The 23,078-nt window shown below is 43.1% G+C and overlaps 2 annotated features.

Annotated features, from left to right (window-relative positions):
- Positions 1,635–1,835: a silencer, noted in NCBI's record as "peak2238 fragment used in MPRA reporter construct". NCBI's record gives its function as "represses an SCP1 promoter by STARR-seq MPRAs in K562 erythroleukemia cells {active_cell/tissue: K562}" and the evidence as "EXISTENCE:reporter gene assay evidence [ECO:0000049][PMID:32103011]".
- Positions 12,438–12,537: a silencer, noted in NCBI's record as "silent region_6039". NCBI's record gives its function as "represses an Ori minimal core promoter by ATAC-STARR-seq in GM12878 lymphoblastoid cells {active_cell/tissue: GM12878}" and the evidence as "EXISTENCE:reporter gene assay evidence [ECO:0000049][PMID:35858748]".

A 23,078-nucleotide genomic window follows, 5' to 3' on the forward strand; every position in this document is an offset into this window, starting at 1 on the left:
ACCAAGAGCAGAATGAGAACCAGCCTGAGAGGGGTGCAGAGTGTGCTTATAGCAGCCAACACCACAGCAGGGAAGAGGCAGTGCACGGGCCCAGGACAGGGGACCTGGGCAGGCCACCAAGAGCATTTTCTACACTTGGAGTTATCACAACAGATGCATGATACTAAAAGCACAGATCTATGATAGATTTTTCGTTGCATTAACTATTCTTTTTATTCATTTTTAAAGGACTTTATTTTCCAGAGCTGTTTGAGGTTCACAGCAAAATTGAGTGGAAAGTTCCATTTTTCTTAAACTCTGTGTTTAACACAGAGTTCCCATATTCCTCCCCCCACCCCCAGCTTGTTTACAATCAACATCTCACATCTGAGTGGCACATTTACTTCAATCAATGCACCCACACTGATACTTCATTATCATCCAAAGTCAGTAGTATATATGAAGGTTCACTCTTGGTGATGTATGTTTTACGGGTTTTGACAACCGTCCAATGACATGTGCCCACCATTGCAGTATCATAAAGAACAGTTTCACTGCCCAAAAATCCTCTGTGGTCTGCCTATTCATCTCTCCCAACCCCTGGCAACTGCTGATTTTTTTGACTGTCTCTATCGTTTTGCCTTTTCCAGAATGTCATATAGTTGGAGTCATGTAGTATGCAGCCTTTTCAGATTGGCTTCTTTCATTTAGTAATATGCATGGAAGCTTTCTCCATGACTCTTCCTGGCTTCCTAGCTCATGTGTTTTTAGCACTGAATAATATAATATTCCATTGTCTGGATATACTACATCTAATAAAGAACATCTTTTTTTTTTTTTTTTTTTTTTTGAGATGGAGTCTCACTCTGTCTCCCAGGCTGGAGTGCAGTGATGGGATCTCAGCTCACTGCAAGCTCAGCCTCCCGAGTTCATGCCATTCTCCTGCCTCAGCTTCTCGAGTAGCTGGGACTACAGGTGCCAGCCACCATGCCCGGCTAATTTTTTTGTATTTTTTTTTAGTACAGACGGGGTTTCACCATGTTAGCCAGGATGGTCTCGATCTCCTGACCTCATGATCTGCCCACCTCAGACTCCCAAAGTGCTGAGATTACAGGCATGAGCCACCGCCCCCAGCTTTTTTTTTTTTTTTTTTTTTTGAGTTGGAGTGTTGCTCTGTTGCCCAGGCTGGAGTGCAGTGGCACAATCTCTGCTCACTGCAGCCTCTGCCTCCCAGGTCCAAACGATTCTCCTCCCTCAGCCTCCCAAGTAGCTGGGATTACAGGCGCCCACCACCAGGCCTGGCTAATTTTTTTATTTTTAGTAGAGATGGGATTTCACCATGTTGGCCAGGCTGATCTCGAACTCCTGACTTCAAGTAATTCATTCACCTTGGCCTCCCAAAGTGCTGCGATTACAGGCATGAGCCACCATGCCTGACCTTAATAAGGTTGATTAAAAAAAAAAGGAAAAGAAAACCTTGGACTATAGAGCTAACAGGTATAAAAATTTTAGTTGAATATTCTCTATAGATATTTTTAATAAAAACTTGGGCTTCAAGTCAGGAACATTTCTTCCATTTCTACATAACTTTAGTATCACTTTCTCTTTTAATTTATGCTTTTTATTTTATGCATCCTTGAAAGCTGCCTTCAATCCATTCTGGAATAGGATTGGGTGGAAAAAAATAGATAAAGACACCAACACCTGTTTCATCTTTGTATTCCCCAAGTGCCTTCAGCTTTAAGAGTCTGGGCAGTTTTACAAGTGCATTTGTGGTATATATCCAGTAGCAAGAGTGAAACTGAGATTGTGGTGACAAGGTCCAACCCCAGAGGTAACAAGTTATGTGTTCCACTCTGCTGAGCCTTGGGGAAGTACCCTTAGATACCAAGATCAATAGTCAACATCTTTTCCTTTGGGCCAGTAAGCACTTTTTAGTCACATGGTAAGTGCAATTCACAGACTTTGGCTGCCATATGATGGCGTAGGCTGGTCTAGGTCAGGTGATTTATCCAGATTAGTTCAGCTCAGTTGAGCTAAGCATTTCCCTGAGATCTGTGTCTTGGCAAAGGGCTTCTTAATGTTTTGAGCTGCCCAGAATGTCATTCCCTATAGTGTGCCGATAGGCAGGTTAACAAAGAGTTCTTAGATTCCTGGACTCAGAAGACACCTTGAGGTGAACAGTGACAGTGGAAACAACATGAACGCCCCAGAGACTGGCTAGGTAACCCTGGACAGGTAGCAACACTATGGTGGGCCTGGGCCTCTTTCTCATCTTGAAGGTGAAAAGGTTGAACTTGAGGATTCATAGGATCTCATCCAGCTCTTGCAGATCAGCTGGTCTAGCGCTTTGCAAACTCTTGGATTTTACAGATCAGTATAGTTTTTTTTAAGAACTGACGCAAGGTGTTCACTTTTTTTTTTTTTTTGAGAGGGAGTTTCATTCTGTCCCCCAGGCTGGAGTGCACTGAGGGAGTTTCACTCTGTCACCCAGGCTGGAGTGTAGTGTCGTGATCTTGGCTCACTGCAACCTCCACCCCACTAGGTTCAAGCAATTCTTTTGCCTCAGCCTCCCCAGTAGCTGGGATTATAGGCGCCCACCACCACACCGGGCTAATTTTTTTGTATTTTACTAGAGACAGGGTTTCACCATGTTGGTCAGGCTGATCTCAAACTCCTGACTTCAGGTGATCCACCTGCCTCAGCCTCCCAAAGTGCTGGGATTACAGGCATGAGCCACCATGCCCGGCCACAAGGTATTTACTTTTTATTTTCCTAGGAAGGACAATAAAAATCAACTACTACTGCCATTTTGTATCACATCATTTCCAGAAGGAAAGATCATATTAACAATGACAACAACCAAAAAAAAAAAAAAAATGGAAGGAAATAACTTCAGCACAAAAGACGGTGCTTGCTAGGACAAGTGGGATGGCAACTTTACTTCAGCATACATGCTTGCTGTGCACTGGCTCTTTCTTCTTCAATTTTTTTTTTTTTTTTGAGATAGGAGTCTCGCCCTGTCGCCCAGGCTGGAGTACAGTGGCACCATCTCAGCTCACTGCAACCTCTGCCTTCAGAGTTCAAGCGATTCTTGTGCCTCAGCCTCCCAAGTAGCTGGGATTACAGGCATGTGCCACCACGACGAGATTTCACCATGTTTGCCAGGCTGGTCTTGAACTCCTGACCTCAGGTGATCCGCCCACCTCGGCCTCCCAAAGTGCTGGGATTACAGGCGTGAGCCACTGCACCTGGACCATTCCTCCTTTTTTTTTTTTTTTTTTTTAAGACAGAGTTTTGCTCTTGTTGCCCAGGCTGGAGTGCAATGGCGTGATCTCAGCTCACTGCAATCTCCACCTCCAGGGTTTAGGTGATTCTCTTGCTTCAGCTTTCTGAGTAGCTGGGATTACAGGCGCGTGCCACCACACCAGGCTAGCTTTTGTATTTTTAGTAGAGACGGAGTTTCACCATGTTGGCCAGGCTGGTCTTGAACTCCTGACCTCAAGTGACCCACCCACCTCGCCTCCCAAAGTGCTGAGATTACAGGCATGAGCCACCGCGCCCAGACTCATACATTTGTTGTGTGTTTGAAATATTTTATGATAACAAGGTAAATTATTTCTAAAAACGCCACTACACCCATTGCCACGCAATACTGTACTAGAAATCCCAGCCAATGTAATGAAACAAACAAAAAAAAAGAATTAAAGTATTTTAAATGTGGGCAAATGGTCTGCATACTGCTGCAGTACCTGAAATAAGAGACCTTTTAGAGGACTTGAGTAAAGAGAATTTTCTTTTTTTTTTTTTTTTTTTGGTAACATGAGATCATTTGTTCAAGAGTAAGAATAGTATGAAGACAGGAGCTCCTTCCCTAAAGGATATAAGGGACGATAAGGGACTCTGGGAGTTTGTTAGCATAAAGCATCCCTAAGAGGATGGCTCTTGAATCTATTCATCCACCCTACAGAGTTTTTTGGTTGATTCAGGTTCTGCCACTCATTTATGAGAGCGTGATGTTTAGGAGAGTTTTATTGAATACAATGCTTTGCTAGTCATTTACTGCTTCCTGTTTTGACTTTTTAAATTTCCAGTCAGCAATCTCACTCTTAATCAAATGCCTTATCATACAGAGAAAAGAAAAAAGAGGAATCCTGTTTTTCTCATGTTAACTATTTTTATTTTTGAACTAATGTGAATTCTTGCGTATGTGTTTTTGCTGAACATGACAAATCAGTCTCACTCTTGTTGCAAGTCAGCCCTGGTTTGGGAAGTCATGGGTTCCAGATACCAGACACAAATAATAGTGACTTTTACCAATGTCTTTTTATGCTTATTAGGGCCTGAAGGTAGAAGATAAGACAATAGATAATATCGATAGTATTTCTTTGATTTACTGAACCCTAAATTCAAAAAAGAAGTTTTATTTGGGAGAGGAAATACAAGAAAATGAGACAAGGAACTTATCTCAACAAATAAGCAGTAACTTTCAGGAGATGTCTGAAGGTCAGCCCGGATTCAGCCCAGAGTCTTAGACTCATTTACCCATAGCAACATCTAGAGAGGTAGCTGGGCTGGAAACCAGAGCCACTGCTTTGTGGCTAATTTGCTGTGTGATCTTAGGTATCATACCTCCTTCGGTACCTCAATTTCCTCATTTGCAAAACCAGAGTCCCTGGGTATACCATCTCCAAAGTTATTTCAGTTCCAAATTCTATAGCCAAAAGTCAGAATGGGACTTCATTTCTTCTAGAAAGTCACCAGAAGTTGGAGCAAAGAGCAAAGTTGGAGCAAAATGGCTCTTCTGGTGAACTCTCATTTATTCATTGAATATTTGGTCAATATGTGCTAAGTGCTTACAGCAGGGATCCCCAGCCGCCAGGCCACAGACTGGTACAAGTACCTATATGGACCAGTTCTGTGGCCTGTTAGGAACCCAGCCATATAGCTGGAGGTGATCAGTGAGCGAGCAAGCAAAGCTTCATCTGTATTTACAGCCGCTCTCCATCATTGGCATTACTACCTGAGCTCCACCTCCTGTCAGATCACCAGGGGCATGACAGTCTCACAGGAGCACAAACCCTATTGTGAACTGCACATGCAAGGGAGCTTATGAGAATCTAATGCCTGATGATCTGTCACTGTCTCCCATCACCCCCAGATGGGACCGTCTAGTTGCAAGGAAACAAGCTGAGGGCTCCCATTGAGTCTACATTATGGTGAGTTGTATAATTATTTCATTATATATTACAATGTAATAATAATAGAAACAAAGTGCACAATAAATGTAATGTGCTTGAATCATCCCCAAACCATCCCCCTCCCTGCCGTGGGTCTGTGGAAAAATTGTCTTCCATGAAACCTGTCCCTGGTGCCAAAAAGTTTGGGGACTGCTGGCTTACACGGGATAAAAACACAGGCCAGATTCTTGCCCATGGGCTAAGCAGTGATTTCTGGGCAAGTTGTGGTTGAGGGAACCAAAAAAAAAATCTGTCAAGAGGATTTTGGCCAGGTGAGGTAGCTCACGCCTGTAATCCCAGCACTTCGAAAGGCCGAGGCAGGAGAATCACTTGAGTGGTAGACCAGCCTGGGCAGCATAGTGAGACACTGTCGTCTCTCCAAAAAAAAAAAAAAGAGAAAAAGAAAAGAAAAAATAATTAGCCAGGTATGGTGGTGTGTGCCTGTAATCCCAGCTACTCAGGAGGCAGGAGGATCTCTTGAAGCCAGGAGTTCAAGACCAGTATAGGCAACAGTCTCTTTAAAAAAAAAAGAAAAGAAAAGAAAAGAAAAAAATTAGCTGGGGGTATGGTGGTGTGTGCCTGTGATCCCAGCTACTCAGGAGGCAGAAGGATCTCTTGAAGCCAGAAGTTCAAGACCAGCATAGGCAACAGTCTATTAAAAATAAAAAAGAAAGAAAGAAAGAAAAAGAAAAAAAAGAAAGAAAAAAGATTTTGACAGAGCTGAGTCTTCCTCAGCTAGGAGCTTGGGCAAAGGGCTGTCACAGATAATTTTCCAGGGAGGGGAATTTCTTGAAACCTTTAGCTTAAGCGCTAGGGGAAATCTGGTTTTAAGAACTTTGAGATATGAATGGAGATGATGGAAGAAAACATCTTTTGAAAGGATGAAGCAGAGCTTTGGTTTCATCTGTGGGGATGCTATTGCTGTTCCTTCGCTCTTGGAAGACTGTGAATAATGATCACACACATGATTCTGTATAGGGCTGCCCATATGCCAGATATTATTCTAAGCCCCACTCAGCATATACCAACTCATGAATCCTCACAAGGGTGTGAGGGGAGTATTATTATTATTAGCTGGGGAAGCTGAGGCACAGAAAAGTTAAGTAACTTACTCAAGTACCTCCATACAGTAGGTATTGGAGCTGGAATTTGAATCTATACACTGGCAGACCGTGCCCTTCATCCCAACCAATGATGCCTTCCTAAATGGGTCTGTTAGTGATGTAAAAGTAAAGTTGAGGTTACTACATGACCCTGTGACTGCGGAAACAAATTACCACTAATTTGGTGTCTCCATACAACACAAATTCATTATCTTCCATTCTAAAGTTTGGAAACCCAAAATGGGGCTCACCCAAGGTCTAAATTCAAGGTGTTGGCTGGGCTGCATTCCTCCTGGAAGTGCTACAGGGACACCTGTTTCCTTGCCTTTTTCAGCTTCTAGAGGCCCCCCCATTCTTCAGCTCATGGCCTCCCTCCATCGTCAGATCCAGCAATGGCCACATGAGCCATTCTCAAGCTGCATCACTCTCACACATTCCCTGTTTTGTCCCTTCTTTCCTTTATCATGACCCTTGTGATTACATTGGGCCCACCCCAATAATCCAAAATAATTTCCACATATCAAGATCCTTAATCACATCTGCAAAATCCCTTTTGCATATAAGGTAACATGCTCACCGATTTTGAGGATTTGAGGATGTAGACATCGTTGGGAGCCATTATTCTGCCTACCACACCCATCAGTTCCACTCGTAGGTATGCACCCAGGAGAATTGAAAACATGGTCCACACAAAAACTTGTATGCAAATGTTCACAGCAGCAATATTTATAATTGCCAAAAAGCGGAAACAACCCAAATGCCCATACACAACCAAGTGTCCATCAATAGATGAGTGGATAAACAAAATGTGGCCTATCCTTACAATGAAATGTTTTTGAGCCATAAAAAGAAATGAAGCACCAGGTGCAGTGGCTCATCCCTTTAGTCCCAGCACTTTAGGAGGCTGAGACTAGAGGATCACTTGAGTTTGAGATCAGCCTGGACAACATAGTGAGACTCTGTCTCTACAAGAAAAAAAAAAGAAATTAGGCATCGTGGTGCACGCCTGTTCCAGATACTCCTAAGGCTGAAGGAGGAGGATTGCTTGAGCCTGGAGGTCAAGGATACTGCAGTGAACCATGATCGTGCCACTGCACTCCAGCATGGGTAACAGAGCAAGACCCCATTTAAAAAAAAAAGGAATGAAGCACTCACTGGTGCATGCTACAACATGGAAGAACCTTGAAAACATTATGCTAAATGAAAGAAGCCAGACACAAATGCCACATAATGCATAATACCATTATATGAAATGTCCAGAAAAGGCGGAATTTATAGAGACAGAAAGTAGATTCGTGGTTGCCTGGATCTGGTGGATGGGAAAAGGAGTGACCGCAGGGATCTTTTGGGGATGGTGGAAATGTTCTAAAATTAGATTGTAGTGTACTTGCACACTCCATGAATTTACTACAAATTATTGAATTGCACACTTAACGTGAGTGAATTGTATGGTACGTAGATAACACCTCAATAATGCACTTTTTAAAAAGGAAGAATGGGGCCGGGTGCGGTGGTTCATGCCTATAATCCCAGCACTTTGGGAGGCCAAGGTGGGCAGATCACCTGAGGTCGGGAGTTCGAGACCAGCCTGACCAACATGGAGAAACCCATCTCTACTAAAAATACAAAATTAGCCTGGTGTGATGGCCCATGCCTGTAATCCCAGCTACTGGGGAGGCTGAGGCAGAAGAATGGCTTGACTCTGGGAGGCGGAGGTTACAGTGAGCAGAGATTGGCAATTGACTCCAGCCTGGGCAACAAAAGCGAAACTCTGTCGAGATGGTACCACTCTATTCCAGCCTGGGCGACAGGGTGAGACTCCCATCTCAAAAAAAAAAAAAAAGGAGGAAGAAAGAGCCGGTGCACAGCAAGCATGTATGTTGAAGTAAAGTTCCATCCCACTTGCCCTAACGAGCACTATCTTTTGTGCTGAGGTTATTTCCTTCCACTTTTTTTTGGTTTTTGTTATGTTAATACGCTCTTTCCTTCTGGAAACGATGTGATTAAAAAATGGCAGTAGTAGTTGATTTTTATTGTCCTTCCTAGGAAAGTAAAAAGTAAACACCTTGTGTCAGTTCTTAAAAATTGATGAAACTATACTGATCTGTAAAATCCAAGAGTTTGCGAAGCGCTAGACCAGCTGATCTGCAAGAGCTGGATGAGATCGTACAAATCCTCAAGTTCAACATTTTCACCTTCAAGATGAGAAAGAGGCCCAGGCCCACCATAGTGTTGCTACCTGCCTAAGGTCACCCAGCCAGTCTCTGGGGCGTTCATGTTGTTTCCACTGTCACTGTTCACCTCAAGGTGTCTTCTGAGTCCAGGAATCTAAGAACTCTTTATTAACCTGCCTATCGGCACACTATAGGGAATGACATTCTGGGCAGCTCAAAACATTAAGAAGCCCTTTGCCAAGACACAGATCTCAGGGAAATGCTTAGCTCAACTGAGCTGAACTAATCTGGATAAATCACCTGACCTAGACCAGCCTACACCATCATATGGCAGCCAAAGTCTGTGAATTGCACTTACCACGTGACTAAAAAGTGCTTACTGGCCCAAAGGAAAAGATGTTGACTGTTTATCTTGGTATCTAAGGGTACTTCCCCAAGGCTCAGCAGAGTGGAACACATAACTTGTTACCTCTGGGATTGGACCGTGTCACCACAATCTCAGTTTCACTCTTGCTACTGAAAATATATCACAAAGGCACTTGTAAAACTGCCCAGACTCTCAAGGCTAAAGGCACTTGGGAAATACAAAGATGAAACAGGTGTTTGTGTCTTTACTTATTTACCCCCAATTTATTCCAGAATGGATTGAAGGCAGCTTTCAAGGATACATAAAATAAAAAAGCATAAATTAAAAGAGAGAGTGATACTAAAGTTATGTACAAATGGAAGACATGTTCCTGACTTGAAGCCCAAGTTTTTATTAAAAATGTCCATAGAGAATATTCAACTAAATTTTTATACCTGTTAGCTCTATAGTCCAAAGTTTTCTTTCTTTTTTTTTTTTTTATAACAACCTTATTGAGGCCAGTCACGGTGGATCATGCCTGTAATCCCAGCACTTTGGGAGGCCAAGGTGGGCAGATTAATTGAAGCCAGGAGTTCAAGACCAGCCTGACCAACATGGTGAAACTCCATCTCTACTAAAAATACAAAAATTAGCCGGGCCTGGTGTCAGGCGCCTGTAATCCCAGCTACTTGGGAGGCTGAGGCAGGAGAGTTGCTTGGACCAGGGAAGCAGAGGTTGCAGTGAGCTGAGATTGTGCCACTACACTCCAGCCTGGATAACAGAGCAACATTCTGGCACCACAAAAAAAAAAAAAAAATTGTTCTTTATTAGATGTAGTACATCCAGAAAATGAAATATTATATTGTTCAGTGCTAAAAACACATGAGCTGTCAAGCCAGGAAGAGTCATGGAGAAAGCTTCCATGCATATTACTAAATGAAAGAAGCCAATCTGAAAAGGCTAATACTACATGACTCCAACTATATGACATTCTGGAAAAGGCAAAACGATAGAGACAGTCAAAAAAAATCAGCAGTTGCCAGGGGTTGGGAGAGATGAATAGGCAGACCACAGAGGATTTTTGGGCAGTGAAACTGTTCTTTATGATACTGCAATGGTGGGCACATGTCATTGGACGGTTGTCAAAACCCGTAAAACATACATCACCAAGAGTGAACCTTCATATATACTACTGACTTTGGATGATAATGAAGTATCAGTGCGGGTGCATTGATTGCAGTAAATGTGCCACTCAGATGTGAGATGTTGATTGTAAACAAGCTGGGGTGGGGGAAGGAATATGGGAACTCTGTGTTAAACACAGAGTTTAAGAAAAATGGAACTTTCCACTCAATTTTGCTGTGAACCTCAAACAGCTCTAGAAAATAAAGTCCATTAAAAAATGAATAAATAGAATAGTTAATGCAATGAAAAACCTATCATAGATCTGTGCCTTTAGTATCATGCATCTGTTGTGATAACTCCAAGTGTAGAAAATGCTCTTGGTGGCCTGCCCAGGTCCTCTGTCCTGGGCCCGTGCACTGCCTCTTCCCTGCTGTGGTGTTGGCTGCTATGAGCTCACTCCGCACCCCTCTCAGGTTGGTTTCCATTCTGCTCTTGGTTGTGGGAAGCTGTCCCCCAGTCCTCCACAGCAGATGGTTGGGAGGTTATACCTGCTTTATTGGCCAACGACTGATGGATGCGGAGGTTGTAACAGCTCAGCCTTCTTGCCTCTGGGCAGAAGGATCTATCTCTATGGTACCAGCCATGCTCCAGAACTCCCTGTGGGATCAGGCTGGGGCCCACCTCCTCCTGAAGCTTCGTCTTTACAGAGCATCTTCCTTTGCCCTCTTCCATTTCTCTCCCTCCCCTCTAGGTTTCTCCTGAGAGCATGCCCTCCATAACTCACTTGCAACACATCGCAGGCTTTGCACATAGAGAAGTGGCCTCTGACAGTTCCTATGGCCTGTCCCTGTCTTCCTAGTATTAATATATCCTGATTTGTCTTGCAAGATATTATATGGAAGTTCATCATAGCAAAGATATGGAATTCATTGTCCTCAGTGTTGCTTGACACAAAAAATCGTTAATGTTTTTCTCCATTTGTGCAGCTAAAAGCTGCACACACCTCACTGCACTTGACGCTGACTCCACAGAGTCAAGTCTTTTCCTCCTAAGAACAAGTTTCTGCATTAAGAATGATTTAGGGGAGAAAAGTGAAGTATAAGGAGACAGAACAGAGGTGGTGACATACAATGTGGCTAGAAGTGAGTTTGAAAACTGTGGGCTTCCCTCGGGTGGGTCACAGATTTTGCAATAAGCTTTCTATTTATCAACACACACACACACGATCATTATACGTATCACATATAAATTCAGTGTCTCCCTTTTGGAAAATAACTGTATTAAGAGCAGTCAGGAATTTCTTCCTCTTTTCTTTCTCTTTTTTCTTGAGACAGGGTCTTGCTCTGCTGCCCAGGCTACAGTGCAGTGATCCTCTGGCCTCAGCCTCCCGAGTAGCTGGGACCACAGGCATGTGCCACCACACACTGCTAATTTTTTTGTGTTTTTATAGAGGCAGGGTCTCACTGTGTTGCTCAGGCTGGTCTGGAAGTACTGGCTCAAGTAATTCTCTTGCCTTGGCTTCCAAAACTGCTAGGATTACAGGCATCAGCCACCATGACCTGCCAGGAATGTCTTCCTCCATCTTTCTAAGAAACATACTCCACCATGTTTGATGGTGATGCAACATGTTCCGTAGGATCCTTAGGGAAGAAAAGCCCCAGCCCAGCTCAATTCCTCTGCTCTCCAGGCTCACCTCTCTTAGAGATGTTGGGTCATTCTTGTTTAATTTCTCTGAGGTTCCGTTTTCTCATCTGTAAAATGGGAATAACAATAGTCCCTGCTTCACAGATTTTTCATGAAGATTGGCTGATAAAATAGTACTCTGCTAGTAGGTTCTGAGCTAGTATTAAGAATGAAACAAGAGCACTTATTATTCCTCTAATACCAAAGAGGGATAATCATTATAATATTGGGCTCATGGGGTCTTTGACTTCAGGCTTGTCTCCTACCTACCCTAAACCTCCTCCTATTCTGTCATCATCTGATACTTGTTGAATACTCATGAGACTTCCTTAGAAGTCTGATGTGCCTCTCCTTAGACTTACTGTGGGATGACCATTAATGCTGGTGACAGAGGCCTGTCCAGTCCCTTTCTCCCAAGAGTGAGCTGCCAGCCTGCCTGAGTGCTCTGAAACAGAGGAGCTGCAATTCAAACTTCACCCAGTTCTCTGTTGTTTTTTTCTCCAAAAGGTTGAAAATATGTGAAGTAACCCTCAGCTCTGCAAAAGATATTGTGTTTCACTATTTCCTTTAACTGCTCTCTGGATCTGGAGCCCCCATTGTAGGGAGAAAGAGCAGGGCATAGGGACGAGATGACTTGAAGCTGCCACTTAGAGACAGCTCAGATTCCACTGGTTTAAATCACTTTCCTTCAGATTCCTTTGGAAAAGTGGATTCGTCTTTCAGACTGTCTTCCTGGCAGCCCCCTTACTTCCTTTAGTGGTAGAACTCCTGAGCTTTAGCCAGGCCCATGGCTTCCCAATTAAAGACTACATTTCCCAGCCTCACTTGAAGCCAGGTACAGCCATGTGACTCAGTTCTGGCCAATAGGATAATATCCATACAGTCTCTATGTTGCTGCCTGGAAAGTGCCATGGTGTGGAGCCATCTTAGACCAGATGAAGCCAACAGTCTAGGAATGGAAGAGCTCAAGGGAGAACGAACCTGAGTCTCCAACACCAAAGAGCTTCTCCATTAGCTCTGGACTGCTAATACTTGGATGCTTCACAAGAGAGAAACCTTCTATCTTGTTTATGTCATTGTCACTTTGATCTCTGTCATGGTAGCTGACTCTGCATTCTGACTAATACACTTCCTGTTCCCACTTCTCTTTTCCAAGATGGCATCTGGAGACAGGGTGGGCTTCTGTATCCTTGTGGCAGTGGGAAGAGGACCCTTTGTCACATGCTGTTCTTCTAGGTTTACTGGTCTCTGATGTCTTGAGACTTGCCCGGTCTAGTTCCTGGGCCCTGGTGCTTGCTTGGCTGGTCCCACTTGGGTTTTCAAGGTGCTGAACTGGGACTTGCTGCTGGCACCATGCTGCTGCACTACAGAGTTGTTCTGAACTTTTGTGCTTTGCAAGGATCCAGAAACCCTCAGCCACCTTCTCCAAACTACTCTGGAGTGTGTAGGTCTCTCTCGGCTGCCCTCCAGCACACCTGCACGCCTGCCTAGGCATGTTCCTCTGCCATTTCTTAACGACCCCCTGAATGTGGGCCTGTGTTATGGGGGGCTTGCAGATTCCTGGCCTGTGTGCTGAGAAGTGGAGAGAAAATCCTATGTACTAGGACTTCTCTAAGCACCTATGTGCAGCCTAGGAACCCCCCCTTTCACAGTTGAACTTGGGGGTGGGGAGGAGGAAAGAAGGGCCTTGCACTTTGACCTCCCTTTCCCACCCACCATCCCAACACAGAGAGACGAAGAAGATTTCTCTTGCTGGATGCAAGCATCTCCAGATCATATTGTCCCTCTTTCCCTCCTCTGTGGGTTTTTCTTTTTGAGACGTAGTCTAGCTCTATCACCCTGGCTGGAGTGCCTTGGCGTGATCTCAACTCACTGCAACCTCGGCCCTCTGGATTCAGGCGATTCTCCTGCCTCAGTCTCCAGAGTAGCTGGGATTACAGGCGCACGCCACCACCCCGGCTAATTTTTGTATTTTTAGTAGAGATGGGGTTTCGCCATGTTGGCCAGGCTGGTCTTGGACTCCTGACCTCAGGTGATCCGCCCGCCTTGGCCTCCCAAAGTGCTAGGATTACAGGTGTGAGCCACCACACCCGGCCTCTCTGTGACATTTTGATACTCCCCCCACCCACACTCCATGTTCAAAGACAAACTTCAAAGTTTAGCTCAGTGGTTCTCAACTGGGGATAATTTTGTCCCCTAGGGGTCACCTGGCAATGTCTGGAGACATTTTTAAGTGTCACACCTGGGAGAAGGGGGTTTCTTACTAGTGTCTGGTGGGTAGTGGTCATGGATGCTGCTAAACATCCTCCAATGCACTAACAGGACAGTGTCCCACAGCCAAGAATTATGCAGCCTAAAATGTGAATCATGCTGAGGTTGGGTGACCCAGACTTAACCTTTACTGAGGAAGCATCGTAAGGCAATATGATTTGCAAGGGAAGGAGAAAGAGCTAGGTTTAATAATCTCCTGTTACATCTCTGCAGATCAGTGTCAGATGTGGCATTCAGCTCTAAGAGAGAACTAAGACTGGGGCTTGCCAAGGTTATTCAACAAGTATGTACTGAACACCTCCTGTGTGCCAGGCACTGTTCTGGGCACGAGGTAAGCAAAACAGACAAAGCTTTCATCCTTCTGGAGCTCATATTCTAATGGAGAACAAGGTAATAAATAAGTAGCGGCCCCTGTGCCATTGCCTGGCTCTGCCACTTATCAGCTGTGTGACTTTGAGCATGTTAATCTCTCCGGCTTTGGTTTCTTCATCTATAATATCGAGCTAATAATAGGACTCACCGCATAGGCCTGTTCCTCACAGGGTTATAATGTGAATTGAAAGAATGAATATGCGCAAAGCCTTTAGACCACAGCTGCTATCTGTTAAGAGAATAAAAATAACTCAACCACATAAATATGACATAAGAGAAATAAATGTAGAATATGATGTCAGAAGTTAATGAAAAATAAAACCAGGTAAGGGAATAGAGAATGAGAGATGGGAGCCCTGGGGAATTTATCATATAGAATATTCAGGGAAGCCTTTCTGAGAAAATGACATTTGAGCAGAGACCGAAGGAAGGGAAGAAATACCTCATTCAACATACAAAAAAATCCATTTCAGGTGGATTAAAGACCCCAAACAAGATGCCTATTATAAACCTACCAGATTGGCAAAAAGTAAAAAGTCTGACAATAGCAGATGTTGGTGAGGTTATGGAGCAAGTGATACTTGCAGACACGTTGGTGGGGACATAAAGAGGGACAACCCATTTGGAAACTGGTTTTGCGTTACAAAGACAAGTTGAAAATGCACTCTTCTTGAGATGCAGAAATTGTATTCCCAGGCATTTACCCAAGAAAACTCATGCATATGTGCATCAGGATACATGAATAATCATATTCCCATCAGTATTACTCCAAATCTGGAAACAACCCAAATCTCCATCAGTAATAGAAAGATAGGCCAGGGACGGTGGCTCATGTCTGGAATCCCAGGACTTTGGGAGGCTGAGGTTGGCAGATCACCTGAGGTCAGGAGTTCCAGACCAGCCTGGCCAACGTGGAGAAACCCTGTCTCTACTAAAAATACAAAAAATTAGCCAGGTGTGGTGGTGTGCACCTGTAGTCCCAGCCACTCAGGAGGCTGAGGCATGAGAATCACTTGAACCTGGGAGGCAGAGGTTGCAGTGAGCAGAGATCATGCCACTGCACTTCAGCCTGGGAGACAGTGAGACCCCCCTCTCAAAAAAAAAAAAAAAAAAAAAAGACAAAGCTATAGAATATCTAGCACCCATTTACCTACCACCAACTTTATCAAGTGATGACATTATGCCATATTTTGTTTCTTACCCTTAAAAAATCATAAACATATTTCTAAAGGCATCTGTCCCTGCTTTCTCCATCCAGAAGTAACTACTATAATAAATTAATGTTTATTATTCCTGTAAATTTTTTACCCTTAATATGCATTTCAATATCTATACAAATTATATAGTATTATTTTATAGGTTTAAAAGTTTTAAATAAATGCTATTATATCATACATGTATTTCTGCAACTTATTTTCTTAATAATTGTGTTCACTTCTAGCTAATTCTGACCAACTAGGCAAGTGTGTATCAGATACTCTATAAGGCCTGGTGAAAAGGTGAACTTGGGTTTGGGAATAGCAGTTGCTCCACTCTGGCTGAACAGGTGAACTCCCACACTATATACATTGTCTTTTTTGTTTTTAACTTTTTATTACAAAAAATCTCAAATATGTAGTAGCGTAGGCAGCACAGTGTAAAGGACCATATGTAATGATCAGCCAAACTCAGTGTTGATCAATGATGAGCAGTCTTGTCTGATTTGTACCCTCGCCAACCCCAGTCCAGATAATCTTCTAGCAAATCGCAGACATTACTTGTCAACAATCTGTAATTGTTGGCCCCAAGATGGCCCCTACAGATCCTCACCTCCTGGTACACATGCCCTCCTGTATTCTCCTCCCACAGTGAATTGGGGATGGTCTGTGAAACTAGTACAATATGATGGAAACGTTGGTTTCTGACTTCCAAGGCTGGATTATAAAAGGCATTGTGGTTTCCTCATTGGTCCCTTAGATTGCTCCCTGTAGGAGATAAGGGGTGCAGAGAGTAAATTTCCAGGCAGTGAGAATAGCAAGGCCAATGTTCCTGAGGGCTGGATGGCTGGAGCATGTGGGTAAGGAGGAGAGCAGTTTAAGATGGAGCTGGAGAGAAAGGCCTTATTTGGACAAGGTCTGATCAGTTGCCCACCTGTAACTGACTGAAGCTCTGCTGCTATGATTGGCTGAGACTTTTGTTACAAAAGTATACTCCTAAGTTAGGCTTTCAGTTTATGTGCCAAGTTAGGTTGCAGTTCCTTATGTAAGAACTCAAGTATAGAGGCATCCTCAGGCCAAATTTAGTTCAATTTAGCACTTTAAAGAAATAATTTTGGCTGGGCGCAGTAGCTCACGCCTGTAATCCCAGCACTTTGGGAGGCCAAGGCAGGCGGATCACAAGGTCAGGAGTTCGAGACCAGCATGGCCAATATAGTGAAACCCAGTCTCTACTAAAAATACAAAAATTAGCCGGGCGTGGTGGCAGGAGCCTGTAATCTTAGCTCCTCGGGAGGCTGAGGCAGGAGAATCGCTTAAACCCGGAAGGCGGAGGTTGCGGCGAGCCAAGATCCCGCCACTGCACTCCAGCCTGGGCGACAGAGCTGGACTCCGTCTCAAAAAAAAAGAAAAAGAAAAAGAAATAATTTTATGGCATAAGAAGCAATCACCCACATACACCTTATAAACCACCAACTGAGGCCCTGAGAGAGTTGTCCATGACGCCATAGCAAGGCACAACATAGTTTGTTTACTCCCAGGCTTGTGCTATTTCCAGGACAACGTAAAGCACTTTCTCCGCCCAGCCCCACTACCAACATGGGGACATATCGGGGTTGGAGGGCTCTTCAAAGGCATGGACAGCTGAGGATAGGGAGAGAGGGGGATCTAAGAGGTTCATCAGGGGCTCAGGGGTGAAGAGATTTATCCCTGGGAGCAGTTTAGCAGCCCAGATAATATGGAAAACACGAGAACTGGCCTGTCACATCTGGGGAACTTCCAAAAAGGTGTAGGAATATAAAATCCCCTTGAGTCATCCAAGGTCAATTCATAAAAATACTACACTCTGTGCTCTATAAAAGAAAGGATACAGCAATACTTATGTTACTTGTCAGTCTAGATATACAACATACATACAAACATAAGGTACATATTTTTAAGTACTAAGTGCCCTCTGCTGCTGGAAGATAAAAATGCACAAAAAGGCTCACAATTTCATTCTCTACATCTGTGCAAAGTAGAATCACAGCGCTAAGGAGCTGAAAGACACAGGAATCTTCTAGTGAGGGTCACAAAGTCCCTGGAGGAAGCCTGCAGGGGCTGAACAGATACTTTAAATGTGGGGTATAAGGATTCACAGAGGCAGGGCTGTGAAGACATAGAGAATACATTCTATCTCCTGGGGTATTCAAAGTTTAAAATAATTTTTTAATGTTATTTACTTTCAAAAATAAGATTCTCATGGTACAGAGTTCAAAGGGTACTTACAAAAAAGGATACATTAAAAAATAAACCCATTGGGCATGGTGGCTCATGCCTGTAATCCCAGAACTTTGGGAGGCCAAGGCGGGTGGATCATCTGAGGTCAGGAGTTCAAGATCAGCCTGGCCAACATGGCGAAACCTCGTCTCTATTAAAAATACAAAAATTAGCCAGGCGTGGTGGCTCACTCCTATAGTCCCAGCTATTTGGGAGGCTGAGGCAGGAGAATCGCTTGAACCTGGAAGGTGGAGGCTGCAGTGAGCCGAGATCACACCACTGCACTCCATCCTGGGTGACAGAGCGAGACTCCCTCTCAAAAATAAATAAATAAATAGATAAACCTTCCTCTCACTCCTGTTACCTAGCTAAGCCCTCCTCTCTGGATGCAAACAAGGTGTCCTTCAAGACATAGACTCTACCTATAAAAAGTATTTTTACACAAATGACAGTGAAAGCACATTTGCAAGATTATGACAGTAAGAAAAATCTGACATAGCTGATTCCATCTTGCTTCTAACTTCCAAGCTATCCTTGTTTATTCTTGAGCATAGGCCAAGCTGGCTCTTGGAGAAATTTAGTTTATAATTTAACCTTAAAGCAAGGATGATAGTATCCCTTCCGCAAACTACCCCCTCCTTTTCTGGAGACTAAAACCACCTTTTAAAAACTAACGAAAGGCTGGCTAGGCGCAGTGGCTCACACCTGTAATCCCAGCACTCTGGGAGGCCGAAGTGGGCATATCACTTGAAGCCTGAGTTGGAGACTAGCCTGGGCAACCTGGCAAAAACCCATCTCTACTAAAAATACAAAAATTAGCCAGGTGTGGCAGTGGGTGCCTATAGTCCCAGGTACTCAGGAGGCTGATGCAGGAGAATTGTTTGAACCCAGGAGGCAGAGGTTGCAGTGAGCGGAGATTGCACCACTGCATTCACCTGAGCAACAGAGCGAGACCCTGTCTCAAAAAAGCAAAACAAAACAACAATAATTGAAAAAAAGTAAAAAAAAAAAAAAAAAAAAGCGAATGAAAGGCCGTAAGATTAGTATTATGGGAGGGGCCTACACCTGCTAAGATATAAGTGTAGTTAAACTATAACTAGCCATTGTTCTGGAGGTCACAATATTTGTAACCTCCCCGTTTGCTCCTGTAGACACCACCACTATTGTTAAAATCTGAGATTGGTGTTGATGGCATTTTTCAGACCCCGTATTCTGATGGACCAGCTGGTGTTGTTGTAGTCTCACCAACGCACCACAGTGTAGTGATCTCTCTTGTGAGGTATCACTCGGAGTTCTTTATCTCATGTCCAAGATGATTAAGGAGCACAGACACAAGGGTGAGGTGGGAGCGAAAGTTTAATAAGCGAAAGACGAAAACTCTCCTCCAGCAGAGAGGGAAGCCTGAATGGGTTGCCCACTAGGAGGCTGGGGTTCAGGGATTTTATAAACTGGGAAGGGGAAGGAATGTGCTTAGTCTGTGGGCTGTCTTGGAGAAAGTGACTCAGCTTGGCCCAAGGACCTTAGCCTGGGACCAATCAGGGGCTGAAGTGATGATTCATAGAGGCTAGTCTCACAATCCAAAAAGGAAAGGAAAAGTGCCCACCAGAACCCACCAGAGCCCACTGTGTTCATGTCCTAAAAAGGAGAAGAAACTTTTTCCCAGGAGCCCACTGATTATGAAAAGAAAAAGTCATTTCTATGTCAGGCCTTGTTCCCTTATCTGAGTGAGCTGGAGGTTTGTGCAAGTTTTTATCTGAACGGGCTGGAGGTTCTCCTATCTGTGAAGCCTCGGGCATGTCTCCAGGCACAGCCCTCTGTGCTAGTTCCCTTGTTGTTGCTTGCAGCTTGATTTTTTTCCCAGGCTGCTTTTTCTGTTATGTGGGGATGAGACAGGTCATCCCCTGTGGGTTGGGGGCTCTCTGGGGACCCTTCCCTTGCTGTCTACATAAGGCAAGCTGGCTAACTCCTCTCAGTGCCACCTGGACCTGTAACCCATACCAAGAAACTGGCTCATCTGGTCTTGCGATCCACCAGGAAATGACTCAGCACAAGAAGATAGCTTTGACCCTCTATGATTTCATCCCCAACCCAACCAGTCAACATCCTTCATTCCCTAGACCCCAGGCCACCAAGCTATCTTTAAGAAACCCTCACCTCCAAATTTTCAGGGAGACTGATTTCAAGTAATAAGCTCCCATCTTCCACTTGGCTAGCCTTGTGTTAATTAAACTCTTTCTCTACTGCAATACTGCTGTCTCAGTAAATCTGTGCAGTGGGCAAGAAGAACCTGTCAGGCAATTACAAAATCACACTATATACACCATTATTTTCCTTTTGTGTTTTTTTCTAATTTAACATATATTCTTAAGATCTTAGAGCTTTTTTCGTATCCTTGCATAAGACATCCTTTTTCTTTTTAAAAACAGCCACATAATATTCCACTGGAAGAATGTACCAAGAGTTTTAAAGCAATGAACATGTAACTTCTTATTTGCTGTTATAAGCAACACTGTAATTAATAACTTCATATATGTCATTTTGCATAATGTGAGTGTATCTGTAGGGTAATTTCTTAAAAGTGGAACTGCCTTCTTAAAGGTATGTATTTTTTGAAATTGTTTTAAGTATAACATGATATATGTAAACAACTGTTGTTGAATAAAGTGTTGGATGGATTTTTACATATGTATCTACACCTATAATGAATACCAATGTTAAGATGTAGAACACTATGAGCACCTCCACCTTGACCACTCCCAGTCAATATCTGCCCTCCCAAGAGATAACTGATGCTGTAACTTCTTCTTTTCTTTTCTTTTTTTTAATTTTATTTTTTTGAGAGAGAGTCTCACTCCATCACCCAGGCTGGAGTGCAGTGTCGCAATCACGGCTGACTGCAACCTCAAACTCCTGGGCTCGAGCAATCCTCCTACCTCAACCTCCTGAGTAGCTGGGACTACAGGCACATACCACCATGCCTGGTTAATTAAAAAATTTTTTTGTAGAGATGGGGTCTTCCTGCATTGCCCAGGCTGGTCTTGAACTCCCAGGCTCAAGTGATCCTCCTGCCTCAGCCTCCTAAAGTGTTGGGATCACAGGCGTGAGCTACTATGCCTGGCCTTATTATAACTTTTGTAATCACAAATTTGCTTTGCCTGTTCTTGACCTGTAGAGAAATAGAATTATAGTCTTTTTGGACTGGCTTTTTTAAGGCAAAATTATACCTATGAGTTTCATCTATGGTGTTGCAGTGTCTTGTTTTTCACTGGTGTGAAGTATCATGTTGTAGAGCTATACCACAATTTTGTAATCCATTCACCAGTTTATTACCATTTGAGTTGTTTCCAGTTTGCGTTATTATGAATAAAGCTGCTTTGAACATCCTTGTAAATAAATGTCTTTGGGTAGGTACTTGTATTCATTTCTCCCGAGCAGAATTACTGACTCATAGGGTAAATCTATGCTAGGTCATAGAGTAGGCCTCTGTTTAATTTTAGCAGATATACCCAATGTTTTCCAAAGTGGTCCTATCACTTACACTCCTCTCAGAAATGTATGCCTGTTCCAGTGGCCTTATGTCCTCATCAGTACCTGGAATTTTCCATCTTTTTACATTTTAGCCATTCTGGTGGGTATGCAAATGTATTTCATTATAATTTTAATTTGCATTTCTCTGATGACTAATAATGTTAACACCTTTTCATGTGCTTTTGGATATTTTCTCTTGCAAAGTGTTTATTAGCTCATTCTTATTAGGTGGATTTTTTTTAAAATTTTGATTTGTAAGAGTGCATTATATTCTAGATATGAGTCCTTTGTCAGATACATGTGTTGTAAATGCCTTCTCCCAATCTGTGGCTTTCCTTTCATTCAATTTTTATGAACAGAAATTCTTAATTTTGGCCAGGCACTGTGGCACACAACTGTAGTCCCAGCATTTTGGGAGGCCAAGGTGGGTGGATTGCTTGAGCTCAGTAGTTCAAGACCAGCCTGGTTAATATGGTGAAACCCTGTCTCTACAAAAAAATATTAAAATTAGCCAGGCATGGCAGCATGTGCCTGTAGTCCTAGCTACTTGGGAGGCTGAGGTGGGAGGATCACTTGAGCCCAGGAGGTTGAGGCTGCAGTGAGCCAAGACTGCACTACTGCACTCCAGCCTGAGCAACAGAATGAAATTAAACACTGTGCTGTTTTAACTTAAAATTTAAATTAAAACAAAATTTAATTTAAAACAAAACAAACAAAACGAAAGCAATTAATTGAGGCTGCAGACTTGTGATCCCTAATTCTAGTTCAATATCTCCATTTAATAAATGATGCCTGGGAAGAGAAGGGGTTTGCTCAAGTTCCCACAGCTAGAAACTAGAGAATCACAATTAGAACCAAGGTTTTCCTACTTTCTAGCCTAGATATATTCTAGTTGAGTACAGTCTTTTTTCCTGATAATAAAATTGAGGGTCAGAAAGATTAAGTTACTTGAGGATAATTAACAGCCATTTTTAAAAACCAGTTCATCTGATTTCTGCCTCTTTTCCATGCTATCTCAATTTACTGAACATTATCATTCATTCATTATTCAGTATGTAGGAGTATCTTCTTGTGCCATGTCCTTTGCTGGGTTCTGTTGAAACAGCCATAGACAGGACAGACACTGTCCCTGCCCTCCCTCATATAATTACAATTGTGTAAATGTTATGAAGAAGTATAGAGTAGAAGAAAGAGTATATTGGTTGTGATGCCAGTTAAATGGGAGACTCAGAAGGGGAGTTACTCCCAAAAAGGAGCTTATGTTTCCACCGCTGGAGGAGGGAAACACTCTGAGATATTAGTTTAATTGCTTATTAGGTAGCCTCAACTCACTGGGGACACTGACAGGAAATGGTTTAATTTCTTCCAATAATTCTCAAAGATATTTATATCAATTCCCATTTTTTCCTCTGAGCCATAGTTTCCTTGATGACATCTTGCCTGCTTCCATAATTTTCAGCCACTTTTAGTAATTAGAACAGACTTGTTTCAGTATTTAACACTCTGCTCTATTTAATTTCTTTATGCTCGATTTGAATTACCACCTGGTGTCACTTCCTTTCAGGTTGAATGATTTTCTTTATTATTTCTTATAGGGCAAGTCTTATAGGACTAGCCACAACTTCTCTCAGTCTCTGTTTATCTGGGAATGTCTCTATCTAGCCTTCATTTTTGAAGAATAGTTTTGCTGGAAATAGAATTCTTGGTTGACAGTTTTTTTCCCCTTTAGGATTTTACATGTTATCCTACTGCCCTCTTCCTTCATTGTTTATGATATGAAGTCAGCTGTTATTCTTGTTCCTCTA

This window comes from Homo sapiens, chromosome 14 (assembly GCF_000001405.40).
Source record: "Homo sapiens chromosome 14, GRCh38.p14 Primary Assembly".
NCBI lineage: Eukaryota > Metazoa > Chordata > Mammalia > Primates > Hominidae > Homo > Homo sapiens.